This window comes from Homo sapiens, chromosome 2 (assembly GCF_000001405.40).
Source record: "Homo sapiens chromosome 2, GRCh38.p14 Primary Assembly".
Taxonomy (NCBI): Eukaryota; Metazoa; Chordata; class Mammalia; order Primates; family Hominidae; genus Homo; species Homo sapiens.
Window position 1 is genome coordinate 100,959,953 of NC_000002.12, and position 27,543 is coordinate 100,987,495.

The window sequence follows — 27,543 nt, forward strand, 5'->3', positions numbered from 1 at the left end:
TCTTCCTTGCTCCTTCCTGAGCCCTTTGAAAAAAGTTCTCTACCACCTGAGATCTTCCTGCCCTCATAGTCATCTTTTTCTCCTCATCATGGCTGATTTGGGAGCTCACCTTTGTCATCAGACAGACTTGGAAGCCAACCTTGGGTGCTTCCAAATGAGGCAGACATGATTCATTCTGAGTCCCAGGGACTCTCCTGGTTTTGGAATCCCAAGAATACCAGCCCAAGACAAAACTTTCTCAGGGTCTTTGAAGTTACAGTGTAATGAAAGTTTCAGGACGTGATAACCTGTGGACTGTTTTAATAGAAAGACCATCATGATAGCACGAGGCCGGGCACGGTGGCTCACGCCTGTAATCCCAGCACTTTGGGAGGCTGAGGCAGGTGGATCACCTGAGGTCAGGAGTTCGAGACCAGCCTTGCCAACATGGTGAAACCCCGTCTCTACTAAAAGTACAAAAATTAGCCTGGCATTGTGGCACATGCCTGGGGCACAGAGCAAGACTCTGTCTCAAAAAGCAAGCTAGCCCTGCATCTCCGCAAGCAGAAGACCACGCCACGCACCTGCTCTGTTTTCCATCACAGAGTGGTGATTGCCGTATGCTGATTTGCAGCAGTTTCCCTGACTGCAGCAGGCCTCCTGCTGACTAGTGTTAATGTATCAGTCGGGCAGTGAGCTCACCTGCCTGCCAGTGGAACCCAGGCCATGTGCTATGGGCACCTCCCACAGCTGGCAGAGTGAACGGGCCACCAGCAGCACCAAGGTGGGTCACACTGCAGAGGGGAAGCCACCTTGGGGTCCCAAGGTCTGTGTGCTAGTTGCTGGCAAGGATGAGATGGTGTCTTCCCGAACTGGACCTTAAGCTAGGATTTGGAGATGAGCCGGGCCATCTCATGGGAGAGTCATCTGATAAACACATGTTGAGCACTTGTTGTGTGCTCAGAGGTGGAGACAGAGAATGAGCCCCAGTTCCTGCCATGGGGAAGGCTATATATTTAGCTTTCGGCAAGAGTAAGGTCAATTTTGAGTAAGATGACCCTAGGAGGGAAAATGTAGCAAGAATGAGTTGCTTTTCTCTATATTGTGAGTGGTCAGAGATCTGAGCAAACAGGGCTGCTCCTGCAGTTAGTGGGTAATCCTGAGAGTCTCAGGAAGCCAGTTGTAATTAGATATATTCTTTCTATTACTTAAATTGAAACAACTAATTGAATCCTTAATTAATGTCTTTAAACTACCTTGGGATACAAAGTGCCAGAGAAGTTATTCTAAGTGCTAAATATGACTAGGAAGTCCCAGGGAGCAGTTTGCACCTGTGTTGCCTCTAGAATATGCAAGAAGACTCGTGCTGCAGGAAAAAGTTATTTCAAATGCAACTGGCAAAATGTTCAAAGTATCTTCTTTGCCTTAGTTTTCCCCAAGGTTTTCTCCTTGGCCTCTATTAAAGCATTCATCCTTGATTTATTATCACCCTTGATCATGCCCTCAGTTTTTTTAAGTTTTTTGGTGGGAAAGGCATATTGAAGAGAGAAGTTGCCCCGTTCTGGACATCTGTAAAATATCTAGCTCATCAAATGCAGGCTACAAACAATAATGAAACTTCCTTTTGGGGGGTGCATTTTTATCTTTAAAGACTTAGATGCTATAAAAGGGCAGATAAAACTGCATTATGGGGGCAGCCAGGCCAACAGTAAGCTCTGCAAAACATCCACCTAATGTCCATGGTCCAGGTCGCTGCTGCCCTCGAAGAAGCAACCAGGGCCTCCCACTTCACAATCTTTTTCTGTCCCCTTCTCCTCATCACAGTGAATCAGGGGAAGGCATTTCTGACAGAGCACAGGAATGTAACAGCTGAAAGATCGTTCAAAGATGTTGCATCGTTTAGAGATAGATTAAGGGGGAGGCCTTCTCTTAAATTCCTGGGAGGCCCTCAGAAGTTTGTTTGGAAGGTCTTGGTATTCTGAAAGAGTCAGAATTTTATTAGTCATTATCTGGCTGGGTAATATGTCTTAGATTCTAGCAGAGAGAGTATTTCACATCTGGGAAGTTTTCAAATGTCTCTTTTTTTTAATTATGCGGATGTTCACATCTGTAGAACCGTCCCTTATGTGGAATTGTTTTCCTTCCCTTTGATAAGTTTCTTGGCTCATCTTACAAATTCATTTGCAATAGCCTAAGCCAACTTGTGACAGATGTAAGCTCTCCAGAGACCACTGTTTTTTATTTTGCCCACTTTATATTCATGTTTGGAAACATTAGTATTTATGTGAATGAATTCAGAGAATATGTTTGGTAAAATGAATTTATTCATGTTAGTGGAGAGAAGACCACATTATAGAATCTTTTAGAAACCTATAAATATATATATTTAAAAAAATGATTGGAAAGCTAAAATCCAAAGAAAATCTTGCAGATTTCATTTTATAATGATTTAGCTTTCTGATGCTCGATATGTTCCTCATTAACTTGGAGAACATCATGATATTCCAGTTCAGAATGTGCAGGATATAATTGTGAAAAACGCAGCACAGATTATCAGCCCTGGGATCCTCAGCCTGGCTGCACACTGGTGAACCTGCAGAGCCTTTGAGAAGGCCAGTGCCTGGGCTTCACCCCAGAGTTTGTGAATTAGCTGATCTGTTTAGGGCCCAGGCAGCGGTGCCCAGGGTCCCAAGGGAACCCCACCCGTGGACGACTTTGAGAGTTCCACGTACGTAGTAAATTGGCTTTTCTCCTATTTAACAGGGTTCTTTATCCCACCTAAAAAACTCCATCTAAAAGTAACTAACTTTTTCTCTGGCCCAGAAGGTCAGTCCGTTCTCCACAGTTGCCCTGGAGGCAGGGACCAAGTCCCACAGAGAAGACTCTGCCGAGGCTACTGCAGGTGTGAGACGGCATCATGATGTGGGCCCATGGCTGTGGGCCTAGGACAGTCCCCCCTCTGCCCTGTTAGAACCCTGGGCCTAGAGCCCAAAAACTTGATGGCATCCCTGCTGTTATTTCTGAGTGACCGTGGTTAATTATAGAACCATTCCGGGCCTAGGACAGTAATGCCCTCCTAGATGTTTGAGAAGATGTAAGAAGATGCGTGAGAGCAGATTTTGTCACCTGGGCCACACTAGGGAACTAGCAAGTTTTGTTGTAGGCGTTGTGTTCCTCTGGGGGTGACCCCTAAATCCTGAGCCCTGTCTCCTCAGTGGCCCAGACCCAACCCCTGTATCAGCCTGGGCTCCCAAGGGGGAGTTTCAGGACAGAGGCCCTTGAACCCCAGGTATGCCAGCCAAGACAGGGGCAGGGAAGGGGGTGTCAATGATGCCGAGACACCCCTACTTTCCCTGGGACCATCAGTATCAGGAACACTGATTATAGAATTCACCTTAAAACACTGGCTGGAGTATTCAAACCGTTACTGCAGAATGAGGCTGTCTTCTCTTTTTTTTGTTTGTTTTGTTTTGTTTTGTTTTGTTTTGTTTGGAGACAGAGTCTTACTGTGTCACCCAGGCTGGAGTGCAGTGGTGCTAACTTGGCTCATTGCAACCTCCGCCTCCCAGGTTCAAGTGATTCTCAGCCTCCCAAGCAGTTGGGATTACAGGCACACACCACCATGCCCAGCTAATTTTTGTTTTTGTTTGTTTGTTTGTTTTTTAGTAGAGATGGGGTTTCACAGTGTTGGCCATGGTGGTCTCGAACTTCTGGCCTCAAGTGATCTTCCCGCCTCAGCCTCCCAAAGTGCTGGGATTACAGGCGTGAGCCACTGTGCCTGGCCTGTGTTCTCATTTTGTAGACTATTTTTCCCAGCATTATAAGCCATAGGGCTAGTGGAAGTGAGAGGCAGTGCTGAATGCTGGTGACCAGCATGGGCTCAAATCCCAGCTCTAGCAAGCTTTTTGGTCTTGCACAAGTTACTTCCCTCTGTTCCTCGGTTTCCTCTTTTTGCAATGGGAATAATAGTTGACCTACCTCATCCAGTTGTGAAAATGAAATGAGTTAATATACTCTACATAAACCCTGGGGGCAGCGCTTGGCTTACAGTTAAGTGCCAACTAGGGATTGGCTGCTGTCACCAGACAGGGCTAACCTATGTGTCCTCTTCTTCCCAACCCCCCAGTGCCTAGCCCCTCCTGTAATGGTTTTGACAACACCCTTTCAAGACCTTGCCGGGTGCCACTAGGAAAGGAGGTTTGCTTCATTGCCACCGTTCGTCTGGCAACACCACAATTCTTAAAGGCAAGTACCTGAGAGGCAGTTCATTGTGCGGAGCTGTTATGATTGACTCACATTTTGTTATATGTAATTAATGGTCTTTTGGGAGGGAATAAATTGCAGTGAAGTTGTCACTGGCTTTGAAAATCGAAGTGTCTGGCTTCTGTGCCTGCACACACGCCCTTTCCCCTGCCCCGTTTCCTGCAAGTGGTTCTCTTTGAAGGCAGCATCGCTTGCTGTTCAGCCCGCAGAAGTGCTGTCTGATAACTGTAAATCTTCCCACCTTTCACACCGGCGTTAATACCATGCAGGCCAGGCCTGGGTGAGAACCGAGTGTTGGAGCGCTGGGGGTTTGTCTGCCTTCTCTCATCTGTGATTGCTTCAACATCGATGGCATGAATGTTGAGTTAAATGAGTAATTCAGATTCCGATGAAAAGCCATTTTCCACATGTTTGCCACTTCTCGATAATGGGAAGGGATGGTGTGACATTCTGGCTCCTAGGTATTTTTCCCTAGCTTGTGAAATAAATTTAGTATCAGCTAATACCGAAATTAGCTACAGATGATGAGTTTCAGTCCAACACGACTTGGAGACTTGCTCGAAATGATTTTAACTTCTGTTACCCACCACGCGTTCCTCTTGAACAAACCTAGGGTGAGCATCTGGCACCCAAGCAACTTTTTTTTTTTTTCTGCTTCCAATACAGGAAATGTGCATAGTTGACGAACCTTTAGAGGAATTCACTTCAAGGCATAGCTTGGAATGGAAATTTTTATTTCTGGATCACAGGTTTGAGAAAAGAAAAACATATTTGGGTTGGGCCCTTCTCAAGTCTTGTTTGCGTGAGCCAGGCTCTCCTTGGGAGAGAAGAGTCGGCCCTGGTCCATTGAAAGAGGAGGACTCTCTGGCACTAGGAAAAGTCGTCCCTGCCAAGGGTGGGTGGTTTCCCTCCAACTTCATCTGCCCCATCGTGAATATGTTCTGTGTTTGGGTCTGATGGCTCAGCCCCGGGCCATCTTTGGGATGATCCTCACTTGAGGCCCTTCCCGGCTCCCAGTAAGGCAGCAGCAAGTGTGAGAGAAATCTCTCATCTCATTTTTTTCAACATCCTTTGATCTTTTAGCCCAATCTTTACTGTTTCTTTTGTAACATTATTTGCAGTTGAAGAACTCCAAATCTCCCCTCCCCACCCTTTAATTTATATTACACTTTGGTGTTGGGCTGATCCAATTTGTAGCTGTTTTTAATTACCCAGTAGTGATAAAGCTTATTGTTATTTGGGCCAAGTTATGCCAAGGGAAAGGAGTATCTATATGCCAAAAAAAAAAGCTGAGCCCTTTGGAAAACACAGCCTCTCTGATTTTGACCATTACAAAGTTATTTTTCTCCCCTTGTTCTTGAGAAATGAGGCCTCCATGTTGATCATTATGGAAAGGCATGGCCACCAGGGTGAGCCCTGCAGGGTGTCTCCTCCCTGATGACAAGTCCTCCTTGTCCTTGTGCAGAGCACCTCCAATCATAGGATACCTGCCTTTTGAAGTGCTGGGAACCTCAGGCTATGACTACTACCACATTGATGACCTGGAGCTCCTGGCCAGGTGTCACCAGCACCGTGAGTACCACTGCCCAGCCCAGGCATGGGGGCCTTGCGTTCACTCCACTGGGGCCCAGCAGCAGGGCTCTGGGACTCCAGAAGCCTCTGCTCGTTACCTGGTTTCTTTTTAAGGTGAGGAACTTGGTTTTCTCTGAGATGATCTGGGGGCATGGTGGAGGCCCCTTATCCGCGTCTACCCCCATGTCACTGGAATTCACTTGGCCCCAAACCCTAGCACCTTCCCACTGTCATCCAGATAGGCGCCCTGTTTAAACCTAATTAAGAAATTAAGGTGATGCAGGGATTTTTTTTTTTAAGTTATGCAATACATTTCAGAGATAAAATACCGAATTCTCATAACTGTTCTTTCATCAGCAGATAAGTATTGGTCACTAACCATAGGCCAGATACTGAGTAGGCTGGCATATGGGGATGATCAGTACCTACTTGCTGTCCCGCAGGGCAGGTCTTCTGGGAAAGCCAGAAATGGGTGACTTTGTGGGATGTGGTCGGTGCATTGAAGGGGATGTACACAGCATACTGGGGGACTCAAGAGGACCCTCACAGCTGGGGTTCAGGGAAGGCTCTTTGCCACATACGAGGCGAACACATTAGCAAATGTATGGGGGATGGGACTTACGATGTGGGGGAGTGAGAATTACAAGCTTGTCCGAGTTCTCACTTAGCAAGTGGTTTCAAGAATTAACCACTTACAGCTGTATTTTCAGTGCCAACTCTTAACTTGAAATAGGAACACTGACCTATTGATCCTAATGCATGAATCGACCACTAACATTGTGCTTTAAAAGATGCCTCACCTGTAGTACCCATTAGAACTTTTTTTTTTTTTTTTTTTTTTGAGACAGACAGATTCTCGCTCTGTCACCCAGGCTGGAGTGCAGTGGCGCAATCTCGGCTCACTGCAAGCTTCACCTTCTGGGTTCAAGCAATTCTCCCACCTCAGCCTCTAGAGTAGTTGGGATTACAGGCGTGTGTGCCACCACGCCCAGCTAATTTTTTGTATTTTTAGTACAGACAGGGTTTCACCATGTTGGTCAGGATGGTCTCAAACTCCTGACTTCAAATGATCTGCTCACCTCGGCCTCCCAAAATGCTTGGATTACAGGCATAAGCCACTGTGCCTGGCTAGAACTTTCTCTTCTGTGGAGAGGGAAGGAAGAATAGGCTTGAGTTCCATCTGGATCGGCTGTTAGAATTTAAAGCTAATCATTAAAACTGTAACTCCTTGCTCCTCAAAGCGTGGTCTAGGACCACACTGCATAGGCATCACGGGAAGTTTGCTACACTTGTAGAATCAGGCCTACTCAGAGTGTCTATTTTAACAAGATCCCGAAGTGAAGAATTACATTCAGCAATTGAAAGGCTTCTCCATGGCTTGGGCAAGACCTCCTTGCCCTGTGGAGCCCACACCCTCAATCTGCTGGGCTTATCTCCTCTTCAGATAATCACATTCTCCAAGTCAGTGTCCTTTTTTTTTTTTTTTTTTTTTTTTTTTGAGACAGAGTCTCACTCTGTCACCCAGTCTCGGCTCGCTGCAAGCTCCGCCTCCCGGGTTCACGCCATTCTCCTGCCTCAGCCTCGTGAGTAGCTGGGACAACAGACGCCCGCCACCACACCCGGCTAATTTTTTGTATTTTTAGTAGAGATGGGGTCTCACCGTATTCGCCAGGATGGTCTCGATCTCCTGACCTCATGATCCGCCTGCCTCAGCCTCCCAAAGTGCTGGGATTACAGGCATGAGCCCCTGTGCCCAGCCATCAGTGTCCTTTTGTAGCGTTAGTTTCCTAGTTGAGATTTCTCTTAACCATTTACCTAAAGAGGTGCTAAGTTCCAGGCACTATGGCAATAAAACCCAAATCATTCTTCTTCCTTGGATCCGTAGTCCATCTTTCTGCCCTGCCCAGGCTTGATACACCATCAGCATCCATTCTGCTCTGGACACCCCTAGAAAAGCCACCAGCAGACATCACTATGGGGGGGCTGCAAGCAGCTCTGGGGAAGGGGGAAGCCTGGGGTGGAGGCATCTGTCCCCGACTCTTTATTTGAGAACTGTGTCGACTGGGCATGAACTGCTGACTGGCAGCCACAGAATCCGTCCAGAGGTTGCTGGCTGGCAGGTCTGTTTTCGGGCCAATTCTGGATGCTCTCTCCTGGGCTCCTGCAGCTCCAAAGACAGCTCTGCCTGCGGCGGGAGGATGAGCACCAGGCAAACCTGAGCCTCTGTTTCATTAAACCTGCAGTTTGAAAATCTGTCTGCATCTGCCCTTATCTGAGGATCTCTTTAAGCGTCTGAGCATTTGGGAAAGTATATGGATCACTCTTCCACTGTTTAAGAATTCACGACAGTGTACCGTGATCCTGACAGTCACTTAAAATACAGGGCAACCGGGGAAACAAGCCATGTTTGGTATTGTCTTTTTTTTTGAAAGCTTATCTTTACAATAACTCTTGGGGAAAAGATCATTTTCATATTAACATTGGTTATATGCGGAATCCATTTTCTACCGACAGTGATGCAGTTTGGCAAAGGGAAGTCGTGTTGCTACCGGTTTCTGACCAAAGGTCAGCAGTGGATCTGGCTGCAGACTCACTACTACATCACCTACCATCAGTGGAACTCCAAGCCCGAGTTCATCGTGTGCACACACTCGGTGGTCAGGTACCGCGCACGGGCAGGGGTGCGGCTGCGTCCTTGTCGCACCTGGGGGAGGGGTGCAGGATGGCGTGGCCCCTGATGGCCAAGTCAGATCAGCAGTCACTCAGGTGTTCCCCATTTCGAAGATGAAGCCCAGGCCATCCCCTGCCGTTAACAGCACAATTCCCAGAGCTCAGCTCGCTTCCAGGCACCACTGGCTCTGCCCTCCCAGGGCTGAGACTCCTTTCAAGCTCTCAGTCAGGCCCCTTTGAACGCCTCATGGACTCTCGCAGGCTGCCAGGATATTACTTAGTAAGTGACTGCTTCACTGACCTACTTACATATTTTCCCATCTCTATCCAGCCCACAGCCTTCCCTTGTTCCTGCTTTGAGTAGAAAATTTAAATTTTACCTCTAAATAACTCAAACACATATTCCCCTTTATTTTTAATGCTTTAAAAACCCCTGCTGGCAACTGAGGCAGTGTTGGGAAAACAGCCTGGCTGCCAGTGGGCGCGGGTTCCTGGGAGGTCCCTGCTGGCCTCAGGGAGCCCTCCACCCAGGGCGGGTGAGCAGGACTTTAAAGAGACGCGGCATGCCCAGGGTTTCATAGATGCTGCCTTTGTGGGGTCACTGTTCCCAAGGATGAAGGGGAAAATGGTCTTCTCCCCGACTACGGAAATTTTAAGAACGTAAATTAGTTTTAAGCTGGCCTACAGAGGAGCCTTGGAGAAGGGCAAAGAAAGAAAAGTTGGAAGGACAGCATGCCTTTCTTTTTTTTTTTTTTTAAACTTTAAGTTCTGGGATTCGTGTACAGAATGTGCAGGTTTGTTACATAGGTATATATGTGCCATGGTGCATGGTGCCATGCACCTATCAACCCATCATTTAGGCTTTAAGCCCTACATGCATTAGGTATTTGTCCTAATGCTCTCCCTCCACTTGTCCCCTACCACCACCCCTGTCAGGCCCCGGTGTGTGATGTTCCCCTCCCTGTGTCCATGTGTTCTCATTGTTCAACTCCCATTTATGAGTGAGAACATGCGGTGTTTGGTTTTCTGTTCCTGTGTTAGTTTGCTGAGGATGATGGCTTCCAGCTTCATCTATGTTCCCGCAAAGGACATGAACTTATTCTGTTTTATGGCTGCATAGTATTCCATAAAATTAGAAAAACCTACTTGAAATTTCATATGCATTTCTTATATACAGCCACTTGCTGCTTGATGATGGATATGTTTTGAGAAATGTGTCATTAGGTGATGTTGTCATCATGCAAACACCATAGAGTGTACTGGACACACCTAGATGGTGTGGCCTACCATACACCTTGGCTATACCGTATAGTGTATTGTTCCTAGGCTACACACCTGTACAGCATGCTATTGCACTGAACACTACAGGTAGCCATAGCACAGGTGTAAGTGTGCACCTAAACGTATCTGAACACAGAAAAGGTACGGTAAAAATACAGTGTTCCAATCTTAGGGAACCACCAATATGTCCCATAAGCACATGACTATATATATGTAACAGACAGATGTAGACAGACAGACACTACACACACTCACACCATACATGTATCAGGTCACCAAATCAGCCATTCTTCCTTAACACGCAGAAGAGGGGAGAAACACTAGTTTTCAGCAGCAAATGACCCTGATTCTACTTGACCACACTTCATGCCTTCGCTCAGGGACTTGATCTTGGATTCCCAGCCTGCCACTGGGCGTGCAGCAGCAGTGGTCTCTGACTCCATGGCAGCCGCCTGTTGCCACCCAGCCTGGTCCTCTGCCCAAGGGCCCCCTACCCCCAGGGAAGGCTGGGCAGCACTCACCCCTCACCCTTCAGGCTGTGCCCTCTACCAGCTCTTCTTCTCCATCCTCCACCTCTCAAATCCTTGGAAGAAACTCTCAGAGAAAGGAGGAAGAGAACAGAGTGAATGAATCAGGTGGCAGGCGTTCCGGAGGCCCAGGAGCCACGTTGCTTTCCAAGGCCTCTTGCCCCAGGGTCTCCACACTCGGGGCAGAGGCACTGTAGGGTCAGCTGGGCGTCCCTGTGTTGAGTTGATTTACCCACACTGCTGAAAAGTGGGCCTGTGGGCTCATCTACAGTCTGGATTTGGCTAGTCCGGGTTGGTTTGAGAGGAAACTTTCTGAGAAATGTAACTACTAAAAAAGTTTTGTGTCACTCTTCCATATGCACGGTCCAGACTGAGCAGGTTTTAAGAAAGCCTTCTAATTATTTAAAGGCAGAAGCTTATCCCATAGACGAAAATGTGTTTTTTAAAGACAATTACAATTGGAGATTTCAGGGAAGTAAAAAGAATAGTAAATGAGAGGGGAATAAAGACATCCTGGAAATAAAAAGATTTTGAATGTAATATTATAAGTCACTCAGGTCGAATTTAAGGCAGAGAACGACGCTCATTCCTTCCAACAAGTCACAGGCTAGGCTCCTCTGTGTTGACTGTTGTGGGGGGCAGGGGTTACGTAGAGAACCTCGATGTACCTTGCTGTCTGTTCAGGTGGTGTCATCCCTTCCTGGAATGCCCCATCTCCACTGTGGTCTCTTAATTTCCTGTACAGTTACGCAGATGTCCGGGTGGAAAGGAGGCAGGAGCTGGCTCTGGAAGACCCGCCATCCGAGGCCCTCCACTCCTCAGCACTAAAGGTACGCCCATCCCTGCCAGATGGATACGGCAAAGGTTGGCTAGGAAGAAAATGCAGCCAACCAGTCTCTGAAACAAGGGTTTCTTTTCATCAATGGAAGGGTACAACCAAGCTATTCAGGAGGCTGAGGTGGGAGGATCCCTTGAGGCCGTCACATTGAGGCTGTGGTGAGCTATGATTGTGCCACCATACTCCAGCCCGGATGACAGAGTAAGACTCTATCTCAAAAAAAAAAAAAAAAAAAAGAGCCTGCAGAGCTGGGCTAGACACAGCCCCTGGACTCAAAGCACGGCTCGGCGACTTTCCAGCCTTACAAGCATGTCTCCAGTGAGTCCACTCGGCATCTCCTCCACAGATAAGACACTGGGGGAGTTCCTCCCTCCCCGGCTGGGTTGTGGAGGAATTCCAGAGTCCCTGGTCTTCCTTTGCTTGAGGGCCGTGGCACTGCCTCCAGGACCCAGGCACCCTATGGGGAGACTGCCCTCACGCCACTCTCCCTGTCACCTGTGCTTTCTATTTCTGTGTCCAGGGGTGTTAGTGAACATCATGCTGGAGCCAGCTCTGGGTCAGCGAGCCCTGCTGTAGAAAGGCCTTCCCTCCACAGAGTCTCTTCCATCCTTCCTTCCACACACTGAGCCCTCTACTCGCCTCTGCCTAGCCAGACGTCTCTTTGTCCCTGGTCCTGGTCCATCACACAGCTTCAGGGAACCTTGGGGATCATCTGCAAGTAGACCAGAGCCCTGTTCCTCGGAGTCCATTCTTAAAGCAGACACAAATGTTGGGAGAAAAAAAAAAGCAAGAAAGGGAGGGAGTGTTGTATTTCATCAAAGTTAAGGAAGGTGTCAACTGGAAGATCCATATGAATTTTTCTTTTTTTTTTTTTTTTGAGACAAAGTCTCACTTTGTTGCCCCAGCTGGAGTGCAGTGGTGCAATCTCGATCTCGGCTCACTGCAAACTCCACCTCCCAGGATCAAGCAATTTTCCTGCCTTAGTCTCCCAAGTAGCTGGGATTATAGGCGCCCACCACCACACCTGGCTAATTTTTGTGTCTTTCATAGAGACAGGGTTTCACCATGTTGGCCAGGCTGGTCTCGAACTCCTGACCTCAAGTGATCCTCCCACCTCAGCTTCTCAAAGTGCTGGGATTACAGGCGTGAGCCACTGTGCCTGGCCTCCACCTGATTTCTCCCACTGAGAGAAAAATTGCTGCCAACCAATCTCTGAAACAAGTGTTTCTTTTCATCAACGGAAGGACACGTCTTAATTTCAGAAGTGTTCAAATGTGAGTGCTGGAGAGGGGAGTACCTCTTAGAACTGGTGAAGCTCAACTTCCAGGGTGCCCAGTGACTGCGAATCCAGAGCCTTGGGCCAGAGGCTGGTGCCACAGCAATGGTCCAGTCTTTCAGGCTGTCTGTGGTCCAACAGAAGCATCTCTCACCCCTGAAGGGCCAAGTTGGGAGGAAGGAGAAATCACCTTTCAAGATCAGAGAGCAGTGGGTGCCTTGGCAGAGCCTCCCCGGCTGCTGTGCCATGTGGTGGTGTGTTCCATGGCAATTCATCACCAGCACGCTGATAGGACGCAGCTGACATTGTTTATTACCCAGCTGTGTCACACCATACATTATGTATCACGTCATAGAAGGGAATTCAGCTGCTAATAGGCAGATGTTAGACACACCATACATCATCGCTGAAGAACAGGTGTAGTGTGTATCATCCAGTCGGAAATTTATCATTGAGGTTTCTGATCCTTGGGGAGTCCTGGAGCCCTGCGAAAGAATGTCTTCTCATCAAAATGCATATATGTATAAATACAAACGCAATCGCCGGGCACGGTGGCTCACGCCTATAATCCCAGCACTTTGGGAGGCTGAGGCGGGCAGATCACAAGGTCAGGAGTTCCAGCCCAGCCTGACCAACATGGAGAAACCCCGTCTCCACTAAAAATACAAAAATTAGCCGGGCATGGTGGCGTGCACCTGTAATCCCAGCTACTCAGGAGGCTGAGGCAGGAGAATCGCTTCAACCCAGGAGGCAGAGGTTGCAGTGAGCCGAGATTGCGCCATTGCACTCCAGCCTGGGCAACAGAGCGAGACTCCGTCTCAAAAAAAAAAAAAATACAAACACAATCTTGGGCACTGGGTTAAGAAATCCCTTTAAAGTAAAAGCTCCCAAACTATCCGTGGTATTGAACCAGTTTGGTTTTTATAGCTTCGCTGTCTGTCACTGTGCAGTGCATTTGTAAAATGCAGATTCCCGTGTGTGGACGTGATGTGCAGAGATGTCAAATGGGCATCAAGGTTCCTCCGGGCTTATTCTCGCTTCCTGGACCGACTTCTCTGCTGACTAGGAACACATAATTCACAAACAGCCGTGGTCCAGGGACCCCGCTCTAAGGAGCCTGGTCAAAGGCAAACTGTAACCAAGCAGCAAGGTCCCCAAATTGCCATTTACCTCAGCACATCCAGCCACATCTGGTATTTCTGTTTTGCACAAAGGCCTGTAGGTCACATGTCAGTCACTTCATTCCTACTGTAGGTGTACAATATCCACCCCCACTGCAGCCGTGACACAAAAGACAAAACGGCCACGCAGACGCACGCATGGGATTTCATACCCAAGGCCATGGGACACAGACCAGCCCATTGACATAGCCCAGAGATGCTGGCAGTTTCCATTCTTCTAACACTAGCTAGGAATGCGGCTCAGGAGGGTAATCACTGTTTTGTTTTCTTCTTTAGCTTAAAAATTATCCCAACCTTTGTTTGGTTTATTATTATTTTTTTAGACAGAGTCTCACTATGTTGCCCAGGCTGGAGTGCAATGGCATGATCTCAGCTCACTGCAACCTCTGCCTCCGAAGTTCAAACCATTCTCCTGCCTCAGCCTCCCAAGTAGCTGGGATTACAGGCGCCTGCCACCACGTCCAGCTAATTTTTGTATTTTTAGTAAAGACGATGTTTCACCATGTTGGCCAGGCTGGTCTCGAACTCCTGACCTCAAATGATCCGCCTGCCTCAGCCTCCCAAAGAGCTGGGATTACAGGCGTGAGCCACCGCACCCAGCCCCAACCCAGCCCCTGTTTTCATGTGCCTATAACAGCTAAGCCACAGAGGATGGAAAAACGGTCCTTCGGAGTCAGACTGTCACAGCTGCTTTCTCGTCACACTGTATTTGAAGCAGAGACATCCTGGGAGCCAGGGTCAGTCAGGAGCGAGAGGTCGAAAGACAGGAGACCCCTTGCCCTCCCCGGTTCTCCACTCCAGGGGACACTGAGGCTGCAGAGAATGAGTAACAGGAGAAAGCCTGGGAAGGACCCAGGAAGGTCCAAAGGCACCTGTCCCAGTGGATGAGTTTACAGTCCACTGCCAGCAGCAACCTTATTTCTAGAACCTCCTTCCCCCTTCTTGGAAAGTCAAGATGCTGGGTGGTGAGGTGACAATGTTGAGGAAATAATAAAATGGAAAGTCAGTTACGAAAATGTAAATAATAAAAACAAAAGGCGAGAAAGGGTAATAAACGCTGCTTTTCGGCTGCAAGCCTCTCTGAGGCTTTAGGTTACGTATATGTATATACTCTACCCAAGCATCTTTGGAATCGTCCCCAAACAACTATGGTATTTGTCTCAGCAGCTTCTGAGGTTGTCGACATATTTAGAACTAAAGTCACGCCCACTGATTCTTTCCTCTTGATGCTGACATGAGGACTGTTTGATGTGTGTGTTTCAGGACAAGGGCTCAAGCCTGGAACCTCGGCAGCACTTTAACACACTCGACGTGGGTGCCTCGGGCCTTAATACCAGTCATTCGCCATCGGCGTCCTCAAGAAGTTCCCACAAATCCTCGCACACAGCCATGTCAGAACCCACCTGTGAGTGCGAGTCCATGGATGGGGAGTGGGATGTCCACATCAGACCAGAGGGACAGCCCCACAGAGGGTCCCGGGCCCAAGTGGAATCAGGGCAGTCTGTGCCTCCGACAGAGGTTGCCGTGCAGTTTATACTCCTCCTTTCCTTTCCCAGACTTCCCGCCTCCTGATCACCTCTCCACACTCTGGTATCCATTCATTGCCAAGCAAAGACATTGAGTGGGTTGTGCACAGATCTGATCCCTTGACTGCTTTTAGTAATTCTGGGGAGGCGTCTGATCAGGCAGCTCATTGGACCAAGCAGCCGAAATGAAGTTTAGGGAGTGTTTGTGGTGTCTCCTACCTGCTCCCAGGCTGGGCTTCTGTGGTTCAGCTCAACCCTGCATGGTGGACTTCCTTTATCAGAGATCCCAAGCGAGCTCTTGTACTGTGCACACCACGGTCATGGGTCCCCTCTTCGGATGAGTACATGCTAAGTACATGGAAGTTAGAAGGTCATTCGTTGCTTTCTTACAGCCACTCCCACCAAGCTGATGGCAGAGGCCAGCACCCCGGCTTTGCCAAGATCAGCCACCCTGCCCCAAGAGTTACCTGTCCCCGGGCTCAGCCAGGCAGCCACCATGCCGGTAAGTGTGTGACCCCAAACTCCTCCACGGGTGTACGCTACAATGTGGTGGGGGCTGCAGAGCCAGGCGATGTGCTGCGTCTCCCCAGAGAATCCGTTTTACTTAGGGATTGAGAGTGTAGGGTGGCAGATGGGGGTGGGAAGTTAAGTAATTTAATTGGCAACTAATTTTAAACATTTGCATGACAAAATTAACATGGATGCATATCCATTAGAATACAAAATCCAAGTGAATTTTAAGGATTAAAGGCAAAACTGCAAACCCGGGGTCATACCCTCATACCCCCAGAGCCCCTGGGGCTACACAATTAGGATTCTTCTGTTTTGAATCCCCTTTCATGCTGGTGAAAATATTTGAGCAGCTCAGTGTCAACAAAAATGTACCTCTGCACATATCAGGTAGCGTCCCCAACATGTGCCAGATCCTTCCAGAACATCGGGATGTATGGCCCTGGCTATATGTAAAGTCACTGGCATGCACCACTCTGGTCATCTATTGCCAGGTAGCAAACTACACCTAACTTAGTGGCCTAAAGCAACCACATGTATGAAGTTCATGGAGTCTGGGTCAGGAATTCAGAAAGGGCATCATGGGGATGGCACTTCTCTGCTCCTTGGTGTCGGGGATCTCGTGGGCCTAGGCTATGGAATGCACCCACCAGATGGTGTCTGCACATGAATGTCCAGCAGCCGGGCTGGGTGGCTGAGGGCTGGGCTCAGCTGAGGCCATCCGTCATTGACTTGCATGGGCCTCTCAAGCCTTAGGCTTCTCCTGGCATGGTGGTGGACTCCAGGTTCCAAGAGGAGACACCTGGAGACGCAGGCAGGAACCATGCAGACCTCTGTGACCTAGCCACGGAAGTCATATAGTATCACCACTGCCATACCTCTTGGTCAAAGCAGCCCTGAGCTCACCCATGAAGAGGGATATAGACCTCCACTTCTAGACGGGAGAAGTACCCAGGAATTTTAGGGGCCACCTCCAGATAGTTGCCAAACCCCTCCCACCCACACTTCACTGTCACTTTGGAGATGGAGTGAACGTGCCACCTTCCTGCTTGCTGTCTCCATAAAGGCTGTGCACACCCTGCTTGAGAAGCTTGGGCGATGCGTTTTATTTTCAAGTAGAATGTGGCAAAGACCACTTACTTTCTCTCCAGCCACCTCCAGATGCGCTTGCAAGCTGTGCCTGCCATTCTTCCAGACTCTCCTGTCCAGTGTGACTCACTTTGCCAACAACGGAGGCCCAGAGTGCTTCTGTCTCCTCCCAGCTGCGCAGGGAAACAGAACCCAGACCAGCTTCTGGATCAGCCCTGTGCCTGGGATTTCTCACTGAAACAAGGTCTCCTGGTGTCATTTCCTCCCAATGCTGTCCTGGGTGACACTTTCCATTTGAGCTGCTTTTTTATATAGGCCCTAGCAACTAGGGGCCGTGTCGGAATAACTTCAGACGAGTCCTTTCACTGTTCTTTAAAAAAAAAAAAAACCACTAGAAAACCACTAGCCCGTGAAGCAGAGTGTTTCATTTCTTGTTACTATACATTGTCTCCCCCACCCACCCGAGTGATCAGGGAGCGCAGATGTGACTCAGCTCACTTCCCAGGAGTCTCTTAAAAGGTTCTGGGCAGAGGCTGGTGAAACTGCCCCAGTCCTCACTGCCTGGATGAGTTCATGGACAAACATGCATGGCGTGTCTGTCCATCTGCATTAGCGCTGAGCAGAAAAGATACGGACGCACAGCAGCTCATGGTAGCAGTCCACGCACGTCGTCCTGCTTGATGACACCGCTAAGAATTAATCCATTTGGGAGGAGAGCAACCAAATCCACCCAGGGCGGAGTCCAGGACAGCAGGCAAGGGAAGGGAAGTAGAGCTGAGCTACCAGGCTTGGGCAGGTAGCAGCAGCCTGGCAGAGCACACTGTGGTGGGGTGGAAGCCTGCACCAGTTGTGCAGGGGCTCTGCCCTTGTGCCCTGCGTAGGAAGCAGTGCAGCCAGGGAACAGACACCTATACTTTCTAGAACTCTTGACTTGGAGCTGTTCACCCCAGTGCGGAACGCAGAGAACCCACCGGACCAAGAGACCACATCCCTGTCCCCTGGAATGGCAGAAGCAGTGGTAACAAAGCCCCTTTCTCTCCCACAGGCCCCTCTGCCTTCCCCATCGTCCTGCGACCTCACACAGCAGCTCCTGCCTCAGACCGTTCTGCAGAGCACGCCCGCTCCCATGGCACAGGTGAGTCTGGGACCCAGGAAAGGGCAGCCCCTCTCAAGCCAGAAGTCCGCAGTGTGCTGCGCTGATGGTCTTGTACACTTAGGTCCCAACCAAGGCCCTGACGTGGGGGAATGTCCCTCCCAATGTGTGTGTGGCCTGTGTCGAGCCATGAGGTTCCCCCCACACCCACCCTCTCGTCTCCAAGTTCTTTTTTCCAGTGTCTGGGGTTTTCTTTTTTTAAATTTCAGTAGTTTTGAGGGAACAGGTGGTGTTTGATTGTATGGATAAGTTCTTTAGGGGTGATTTCTGAGATTTGTGTACCTGTCACCCGAGCAGTGTACACTGTACCCAATATGTAGTCCTTTATGCCTCACATCCCCCCACCCTTGCCCCACCAGTCCCAAAGTCCATCATTTCATTCTTATGCCTTTGTGACCTCATAGTTTAGCTCCCACTTAGAAGTGAAAACATACGATATTTGGTTTTCCATTTCTGAGTTGCTTCATTTAGAATAATGACCTCCAGCTCCATCCAAGTTGCTGCAGAAGTCCAGAGTCTGTTTTTTTAATTCTTTTAACAGTCTCTGTTCACCTCTTTGCCACTTTTCCACATTCCTCTTGTTCTTTACGACTCCAAATTGGCCATGGTATTTTAGAAAAGGTCTGAATTGGGCTGCATGTCATAGAAAGACTGAAAGGATCTAAAAGCCGTGAGTCCAGCACTATAAATATCACATTTGTTTAAAAAAAAAGAAAGAAAGAAAGAAAGAAAGAAAAGAAAAGGATTACGGCTTTGCTGAGTAATTCCATCCTTGTTTCAACAACATTCGGTGAGTTACTATTTGGGTCAGTCAGTGAGCGAGGTGTTAGGGATGTAAAGATGTAAGTCAGCCCTTGCTTTTAGTTCTCAGAACTAAAGGGAGAGACAGGCATGTAAACAGAGACGCCGCCGTGGCAGGGCATGCGTTTTTATAGAACCGTGAAGGAAATATTCTACCCAGGGAAGTCTGACGTGGCTTCCTGGAGGAGGTGACGCTTGAGTTGGCCCCGGAAAGGTGGGTAGGAGGTTGCCAGATGGTTTGGCAGGGGGACAGCAGGGATGTGCTTCAGCAGGGAGTTCTGAACACGGGGAGTGACAAACCCTGCCCAGGCCTGAGCTCTGACTTCAGTTCCCTCATAGGAGACTTAGCTCTGCCCAGACCATGGCCACAGGCTAGAGCTGCGTCCCAGACGGCAGTTCAGCAGCAGGTGCCCCTCTCTGTCTTGGCACACATCTGTCACCACTGATGAAAACTATTTCGGAACATATGCCCTCTTAGTGGGGGTCTCTCATGCATTCCTGGAGTAAGACACATGCTAACGCGTGCTGCTTGCCAGAGTCAGGCTTGAAGATTGGTGTAAAAAAGCTACCCTTCTGGAATCTACTCATTAAAACTGCCTATATTCACCCTCATTAGGCCAAAAGAAAAAAAAACCTGAATACTGTTTTTCTCTTTAAATTTCCAAGGCCTATTTGGTAAGAAATTAGTAACCTTTTAATCCAAAGGGGCATAAAATGAAAATGTCTTTAACTTCTGGGTCTTGCATTATGAAGAATGTCTGTGTTTACAAGACACGATGGTGTGATGCAGTCTCTTTTGGAATTCTGATTTTTCATTTATTGAACTTCTTAGTCTGTCATGTGTACTATATTTAATAATAACTATATATATATATATATATATATTTTTTTTTTTTTTTTTTTTTTTTTTCTGAGACGGAGTTTCACTCTTTTTGCCCAGGCTGGAGTGCAATGGCACCATCTTGGCTCACTGCAACCTCCACCTCCTGGGTTCCAGCGATTCTTCTGCCTCAGCCTCCCAAGTAGCTGGGATTACAGGAATGCACCACTACCAGGAATGCACCACTACACCCAGCTAATTTTGTATTTTTTGTGGAGACGGGGTTTCGCTGTGTTGGCCAGGCTGGTCTTGAATTCCTGACCTCAGGTGATCCGCCCACCTCAACCTCCCAAAGTGCTGGGATTACAGGCGTGAGCCACCACGCCCAGCCAATAACTATATTCTTTAAGACATCCCTGCATAATACTGACTTTCCAAGTCACACAGTTCTTCCCACTTCATGTGAAATACCCACTTCATGTGAAACAACGAGATTCTGGGATTTTTCTCTCACTCCCCTCACCCTTCAGGGAAAGAAGGGAAAAATGAAATCCAAAATCTGAGGAGCGGTTATCTGGGTAACTGGTGGTTTTCCAAAAAAGCCTCTTTCTTCATACTATGGTTCTAAAATGTCTTTAAATTAGAGTAGCTCTCTTTATCAAAAACATCACCATCAAGAAGGTAAGGAGGGCCTAATGATGGGGTGTCTGGGAGGCCTTGAAAAAATCCGAATAACGTGAGAGGCAGCCACCACCTCCTAACCCAGCCCATCGCCACTCCCTTTCCAAGCCAACTGGGCACCGATGAGCCGCCTCCACTGCAGGTGGAAGGGGCAACGCTGAGTTTCCCGACTTCGTAGAACCTGCCAGAGAAGCTTTTGTGTTTCGTTAAATACTTGGAATAGCTCGTTTGCTTTCTCCGTTGAATTCCCTTTCAAAATCCTCACAGAGTGGTCTGATTAGTCACAATCTGACTGGGATTTTTGTGAGTCTGGGATAGCGCAGGGTTTTTTTTAATTTTTGTTATTTTTGTTTATATATATATTTTTTGAGACGGGGTCTCACTCTGTTGCCCAGGCTGGAGTGCAGTTGTGCAATCTCGGCTCACTGCAACCTCTGCCTCCCGGATTCAAGCAATTCTCCTGCCTCAGCCTCCCGAGTAGCTGAGATTACGGGTGCCCACCACCACGCCTGGCTAATTTTTGTATTTTTTAGTGGAGATGGGGTTTTGCCATGTTGGCCAGGCTGGTCTCAAACTCTTGATCTCAGGTGATCCGCCCACCTCGGCCTCTCAAAGTGCTGGGATTACAGGCATGAGTCACCGCCCCAGGCCCAGCACAGGTATTTTTAAATGCATGGGTAGCAACAGAACCTTCCTTTTAAAGGAAGTCTGAGGTCAAAGCCACTCTGGTCAAGATGGGAGTGTCTTGTGGGCAAAACTTCTTGGCCTTGCTCAGCTCCTAAGACTTGGGATTTACATGTTGGTGCTGCCACCATCTCGCTGTGTGATTTCCAGCAGGGTGCAGCCTCTTGGGGTGGCATGGGCTCGTCGTGAAGCACAACACACGTACCTCTACTTGCCTGGGGCAGCAGCTGGCACCTGAGGGTCTCTGCACATGTCAGCACCTGCTATTCTTACTCTTACTGGTTCTTTTTATTATTATTTTGCTGCTTCAAAAGCTATGCTTTCAGTTATTTCATCCTGTTTCTCAACTCTCCTGCTCTCCTTGCCTCCCTGTGTCTGGGAGGTCAAAGGGCAGAGGAAAAGAGAGAGGCCCTGGGGGCATTTGCAAAAGACAGCGGGCAGGAAACAGACTAGGGAGATTGTTGGGCTAGAGATTGAGGGAGTGGAGGTTAAATCATGGTAAAAAGGGAGAAAGAGAAAAACAGAATGAATCTAGCAAACTCATTTGCCTCAAGATATGGGAGTCATAGCCCCGAAGAGCCCAGAGCAGGGGCTGCAGGCCCCTCCTGCCATCCCTCCCAAACAGTGTTTCCTGGAAGCGGAGGAGCCTGTGTTGAGGGAGACGGGACAGGAGGCAGAGACTACCTGCAAGTTTCCTAAGGCCAGCCTCCTTCCCCAGAAAGGATTAAGGGTCCAAAGGAAGGGGAGACCCAAAACAATCACCGTGTCTTTACCCCGAGGTCAGTCACACTGGAGAGGGGGCCCTCGGGGCAAAGACTGGGTGATTGTTTTGTTCGTTTTTTGCACAGATTTCCGAGACGTGCATAGTAGCAAGTAAGGCTGGAGAGGGGAGGGTGAGGGGGAATGAAAAGTTCTTGATGATCCCAGGCTGTTTTGGAGAGAGCCAGGATCAGATTTAGGATAACGACCGGACCCAAAAATGCCTGTGAAGCTGTCACGTACAAACTGCTATGCCCTAAATGAGGGGGAAAAGGGACTCTCTGATGTCCTGCTTTTGACATTCATCTCCAGAACCATTTGTTCATCTCTCTAAATTTGGAATATCAGTTTGTGAACATTGCTTACAAAATCCTGTCCCAATTCTGTGGCCCTCCCGGACTGCAGGGCAGTAAGTCAGGTCTGCAGATTCAGGTGGGCCTGCTGTCATAGCCAGCCTGAGAAAGACTGGTGCAGGGGCCCCCAGGATGCCCAGACCTCATCTGCAGCCCCTGTTCACTGCCCAGGACCCAGCCGTGGGCTCCTTAGGGATGCTGGGAAAGACGGCTAAGGGACGGAAATGAAGTGTACAGACCGAGCAGCAGCAAGATCTGCCTGCAAGGCTGAAATAACTCTTTCATCTGATTATGTTTTTCGGCTCCACCTTGAAGTTTTCGGCACAGTTCAGCATGTTCCAGACCATCAAAGACCAGCTAGAGCAGCGGACGCGGATCCTGCAGGCCAATATCCGGTGGCAACAGGAAGAGCTCCACAAGATCCAGGAGCAGCTCTGCCTGGTCCAGGACTCCAACGTCCAGGTGATCCCCTTCCCGGGCTGGCCTCTGTCCCTGCTGCTGTGTGGGAAGGGGTCCTGCCGCCATTTCCGGGCAGCCAGGACTTCCTCCCAAGCCCTGTGAACTGCCCTGCCAAGCCCCATTTGCTTATGAAAGCATATTGCAGTCTCTGCAAAGGACAAGGAACAAATCCCGGTCCCCATCCCTGCCTCCAGGCCACACCCCTGATGTCCTCTTCCCTCGCCCCTCACTCTGACAGGCACATCTGCTCACTGCCTCCACCTACGTTTGCACTTGTGCACTTGGCGTTGGATTGCCCTGCATGGATGCCTGCCTCGGTCCTGGGTAGTACCTCCCTGCACCTCTATAACTTTGCTTTCCTAGCTCCCAGCCCAGGCTGCCATCAGGAGGAGATGGAAGCAGCTCTGTTGTTTCTCATCCAACGCAGGCATCCAGGGAGATGTGGGAAATGATGATATCCATATCACAGCCTACTGGAGACTGCAGAGGGAGCTGGGTGGCTCCCCATTTGTGGTGTGCCAGCAGGGAAGCTCTGCAAAGCCTAGCAGCAGCAGCTCTCACTGTGACCCCCAGATATTAGAATTGTTTGGAGAGGTGTTGTTTTGTTTTGTTTTTTGTTTTGTTTTGGAGGAAAACCTTTACATATTGGATCTCTTTTAATAATATATAATGTTTTACTTACATTAGTCCAGGACTGTGTATCTTCAGAAGTGCCTGATTCTGACCCAGCCTTTGATTGTAAATGTAACTCTAGCTAACCTTGGCGTCTGCCCTGGGAGCACTAAGCATTTGGAGACCCTTAGAAGGGACAGAAAGAAGCAGAAATAACATCTCTGCTGGAGCACTGTCCCTGTTGCTTCCCCCATCACCATCTACGCAGACCCTCCCCTGGCCACACAGCTTCTGAAGTGCAGCCACACCTACCATAGGTGACAGGCGGGTTCTGTCGGGGCACAGCGCCGTGAGCCGGTGCACGCTGAGATTAATACACAGTGGTGCAGGTGTCTGGGGGCTTAGGGAGATGCTCATTTGGCCATCCTGCCTCGCTGAGGTCCCAGCAGCTCCGCCTGGCCCTCAGGGGCACTCCTGGTGGCTTTCTAGATGCTCACTGTCCCTCCCCTTCCTGCCCCTGCACAGGCCTCTCAGAGGTGGCTGCTCACCTTAAAGAGAAGAGCCCCGCCCTGGACAGGCCACCTCCCCACCTGCTCCCCTCAAGACACGGCGTGTGCGCCTTGAGCAGGCTTCACTCAGACAGCCTGGGCCATGCCAGAGCCCTGCTGCTCTCCCCACCTCCTCAGTGCACCCTTAAATTGACCAGAAAAAGGCTCGGCCTTCTCGTGAAAAGAAATGGAGTCACCGAGCTGCCATTCCACCTTTTACCAGAATAGGTAAAAAGTGGCTTTTGACTTACGCCTTCCCAGCTGGAATATTTTTCTCACTGATCCAGGGCCTGACTGGGAGCCCAATGCTTGCCTGACTCCAATTACTTTAATGGAATTTTTACACTAACAGGAAGGGGGAAATCGAGCCAGAAACTGCTAAAATTGAGGTAGGCGTATGAACATCCCCCTCAGTGCCTGGAGTTTTTCTACTTCCTGCCTTTTCTGAATTTTAAAATAACAGGCAGCAAGGTTATCGCTTTCACTCCTGTTATAACAAAGTATTTTTCCTCCTTGTGACCTATGCCTTTGGTTAACCCCAAAGTACCTATGCCACAGTGCACTGAGGGATGTTCTGAGCCGGCCGGCATGGGAATTGCACCCTCCGGTGCCTTCCTGCCCTGTGTTCATTCCTGAGGCCTTATCTTTGCAGTGGAATTTTCCAGAGATCATGGAAATCCACAGATAGTCGAGACAGAGGATATTTCCTCAAGGAGCCTGCCTTGTTTTTTTGTAAGACTTAAAGAAATATGTTCCAAAATGTGATATTTGTTTTTTTTAAACTAAACTGTGTGATTCAAGTGTGAAGAATAAGCAAGTAGAAATGACTCCAGCCCACCCCCAAAAGTAGAGGGATAGATAAAATAAGAATGACAAAACACTGATGATTGTTGAAGCCTAATGGTGATGCCAAGGTTTCATTATATTACTTGTCTATTTTGTATACTTCTAAAATGTCCTGTAATGACAAGTATTTGTAGAAATAAGCAGATAACACTAATGAAAAATCATCTGTGAGTGTAGGATTGGTTTGTTCTTGAAAATTAGAAGTTGTTGGTTTGTTTTCTCTGATAACTTTTCCCACTTGGAGAACTTTTTTTTTTTTTTATGTTTTCTATAAAGTTGACCTCAGAGCCCTTTTAAGTCACCATCTCCTTAAGCCACAAAATTCTACTTTATTGTTGATAAACAGAAGTACGGCTGTGCCCAGCAGCAAACCAGGAACCAGTCCCCCACCCAGTGGCCTTTATCCCAACCTCAGTGGACTTGTGATGCTTTACTTCATTGCTTCAAAACTTTCGTCGAGGCTATATGTGCCTGTGATGCTTACTATTTTTTTTTTTCAAAAAAACCTTGGGTTATGAGGAAGAAGTCCTGAAGGGCTGTTGGTGTTTGCACCTGGATGGGGTCATGAAAATGGGGCTACCTGGACAAGAGCTGTTGTGCTGAAAGGCCCATCGCCCCCTCCAAGGCTGCCTCTTGCTCTTTTTGAGAGCATGCGCGCCCTCTGCTGGCTGCTCAAAGGAATGCCTAGAAGGACACCTGTAGCAATGGCAAATGACGTGTTCCTCAACTGGTTCATCCATCCATCTATCCATCCTTCCTTCCATCCAGCCATCATCTATCCATCCTTCCATCCGTCCTTCCTTCCTTCCATCCAGCCATCATCTATCCATCCTTCCATCCAGCCATCATCTGTCCATCCTTCCATCCGTCCTTCCATCCAGCCGCCATCTGTCCATCCTTTCTTCTGGCCACCCTCCCTTCTATACATCCTTCTGCCCGTCCTTTCTTCCTTCCATCCATCCTTTAGTCCATCCATCCATCTGACAGACACCCTTTATTTACCAGGCACGTGGTTAAGCACTGTGAGGATACAGAAAGATAAACAGGGCAGGGTTTCTACTGTCAGAGGATATACATCGATGGGACAGAGTAGCACACCTTGCTGTTACAGTCTGTTACATAAATAACACCAGCAGACATAGTTTGCCCTTCTCTGAGTGAAAGCACCATTCATATGTTTATTCATTCATACATGCATTTATTCCATTCATTCATTTATCAAACAGTTTTTATATGCCCAAAGAGGCGAAGGAGGAAAAAGCTCCTTTTTTCATTTTGAATGTTATTATCTGACATTCATTCAGTACTTACTATGTCTCAGGTCATTTATATGCATTAACTTCATTTAGTCCTTAATAAGATATATGCTCTTAATGTCACTATTTTTTTTTAATGTCACTATTTTTTACTAATGAGGAAACTAAGGCTTTGAAAAGTTATTAAAATTGCCGAAGGCCATACTGCTAGTAAATGGTAGGGTGGGAATTTGAGCTAAGATAGGTCTGCTTTAAGGTAAATTATACTGCCTCTCATCAATAAAGGTTGGATTTATTCAAACTCTAATCAAAAGGTAAATTGTGTCCTACCAGAAAAACGCATGGTAATTGGGTTTGACTACTAGGTTTTTGCTGAAGTGATGAAGTATAGGTTGCCCTATGTGCTATAAATGAGTCTTATTTTAATAGGGAGCTGGGATTGCATGAAACATGAATCCTCAAAATGTGTAAAATGATGGATACCCAGAAAATTCTTCTTAATTTCTAAAGTGACAAGGAGTCCTCATTTCAAAACTGCAGGCTTCTCTGTGGTGGGTGGGGCATGAGAGGAGTTTGGGGAGGTCCCGTGGGATGGTAGAAAGATCAGAACCCAGCCCCAGCTCAGCCACCTGCCCATCTCGGGCCTCTGGTAAGTGGCTCGACCCCACCCATGAAACAGATGCTTGAGCGAACTGATCCGTAAGTCTCCCCAGCGCGCCTGCATGGTGGGATCCTCGCCTGCCTCTCCAAACCTGCGCTGACACTCAGCAGATGTCAGCCTGTCGGTCCTGTACTGCATATGAGGTGGGACTGCACTGAGTACAGGAATGGGGTGAAAAACGTCAGATGCTGGGAGCCAGAGAGCCTTCCCCCTAAAGAACTCCAGGCTAAGGGCCTGATGGACTGGAACAGTGTATGTTGAGAATCATGATAGACACAGTGCCATCTGATGTTTTTAATACCCAAGAGGTACTTTTGTTTAAAAAGCCAGTTTCAGGTCTGTCATTAAATTATTATTAAAATTACAAAAGTTGTCTTTCTTAAAACTTTAGAGTCAACTGACAGATTCCGTTTTATTTATGAATCTACTAATTTGGTCTAAAAAGAGCAATGCTCTAACTAGATTTTTATTTATGTTCAATTAGTTGATAGGTTGATTGTGAATAATCAACATTATCTACCAAAACTATTCATTTACACATTTAATTTATCTGAATCTTTCAAGCATTTTATGTACCTAACAAGGCAGACTTATAAAGCTAAGAAGTAAAATCTTTCTAAGCACCTAAACAACTGTTTTATTTATTTATTCATTTTTAAGACAGAGTCTCACCCTGTTGCCCAGGCTGGAGCGCAGTGGCACGATCTTGGCTCACTGCAACCTCCGCCTCCCAGGTTCAAGCAATTCCCCTGCCTCAGCCTCCCAAATAACTGGGATTACAGGCGTGCGCCACCATGCCCAGCTAATTTTTATATTTTTAGTAGAGACAGGGTTTCACCATATTGGTTAGGCTGGTCTCAAGCTCCTGGCCTCAAGCGATCTGCCCGCCTTGGCCTCCCAAAGTGCTGTAATACAGGCGTTAGACACAGCGCCCAGCGTAAACAACTGTTTTAAATCAAATACACCAAACTTATTTGAACTAAATCAGGATTCTCAAGAACACCTCAAATTCTCTTAAATCTTTCAAATTAAAACCACCAAGCTAATATCCCATGGCCTTTTAAATGTCTCTGAGACACCTTAGGTAACAAAACACAGAGATGATCATGATGATTACAAAACTTGAACATAATTTTAAAGTGCATGGACTTAATGTTATGTGATCATATCCATGTTATTGGCCTGCCTGGGTATGTGG

General features: G+C 48.0%; 1 protein-coding gene and 1 long non-coding RNA gene across 22 annotated transcripts in view, besides 5 other annotated features; one reads left to right on the top strand and one right to left on the bottom strand.

Annotated features, from left to right (window-relative positions):
• Positions 1-27,543, top strand: part of NPAS2 (neuronal PAS domain protein 2) — a 178,107-nt gene that overhangs the window by 141,230 nt on the left and 9,334 nt on the right. For 16 of the 21 annotated variants that reach the window (XR_007075420.1, XM_047444506.1, NM_002518.4 and 13 more), the window contains 9 exons: positions 4,106-4,224; positions 4,909-4,991; positions 5,708-5,814; positions 8,329-8,476; positions 11,038-11,122; positions 14,851-14,992; positions 15,506-15,615; positions 17,758-17,847; positions 22,279-22,425. Coding sequence is in view for 20 of the 21 variants with exons in the window: in XM_047444506.1 (XP_047300462.1) it covers positions 4,106-4,224; positions 4,909-4,991; positions 5,708-5,814; positions 8,329-8,476; positions 11,038-11,122; positions 14,851-14,992; positions 15,506-15,615; positions 17,758-17,847; positions 22,279-22,425 (1,031 nt within the window). In the remaining variant the exon portion in view is untranslated. Of the gene's footprint in view, positions 1-4,105; positions 4,225-4,908; positions 4,992-5,707; positions 5,815-8,328; positions 8,477-11,037; positions 11,123-14,850; positions 14,993-15,505; positions 15,616-17,757; positions 17,848-22,278; positions 22,426-22,660; positions 25,992-27,543 lie in introns of those variants that run through there. The other 5 variants (XM_047444515.1, XM_005263960.3, XM_017004217.2 and 2 more) reach the window with 2 other exon arrangements.
• Positions 12,696-17,209, bottom strand: NPAS2-AS1 (NPAS2 antisense RNA 1). The gene is made up of 3 exons (NR_110213.1): positions 16,764-17,209; positions 15,333-15,461; positions 12,696-12,891 (listed from the first exon to the last, which is right to left on the bottom strand). It is a non-coding gene; the product is annotated as an NPAS2 antisense RNA 1 (long non-coding RNA).
• Positions 22,993-23,494: an enhancer, noted in NCBI's record as "H3K4me1 hESC enhancer chr2:101599407-101599908 (GRCh37/hg19 assembly coordinates)". NCBI's record gives its function as "activates a minimal SCP1, AML or CMV promoter by ChIP-STARR-seq in primed H9 embryonic stem cells {active_cell/tissue: H9 hESC(primed)}" and the evidence as "EXISTENCE:reporter gene assay evidence [ECO:0000049][PMID:30033119]".
• Positions 23,495-23,994: an enhancer, noted in NCBI's record as "H3K4me1 hESC enhancer chr2:101599909-101600408 (GRCh37/hg19 assembly coordinates)". NCBI's record gives its function as "activates a minimal SCP1, AML or CMV promoter by ChIP-STARR-seq in primed H9 embryonic stem cells {active_cell/tissue: H9 hESC(primed)}" and the evidence as "EXISTENCE:reporter gene assay evidence [ECO:0000049][PMID:30033119]".
• Positions 24,926-25,121: a silencer, noted in NCBI's record as "fragment chr2:101601340-101601535 (GRCh37/hg19 assembly coordinates)". NCBI's record gives its function as "represses an EF-1alpha promoter that drives an FKBP-Casp9 reporter gene in an ReSE screen in K562 erythroleukemia cells {active_cell/tissue: K562}" and the evidence as "EXISTENCE:reporter gene assay evidence [ECO:0000049][PMID:32094911]".
• Positions 24,926-25,145: a biological region, named in NCBI's record as "ReSE screen-validated silencer GRCh37_chr2:101601340-101601535".
• Positions 25,006-25,145: a silencer, noted in NCBI's record as "silent region_11817". NCBI's record gives its function as "represses an Ori minimal core promoter by ATAC-STARR-seq in GM12878 lymphoblastoid cells {active_cell/tissue: GM12878}" and the evidence as "EXISTENCE:reporter gene assay evidence [ECO:0000049][PMID:35858748]".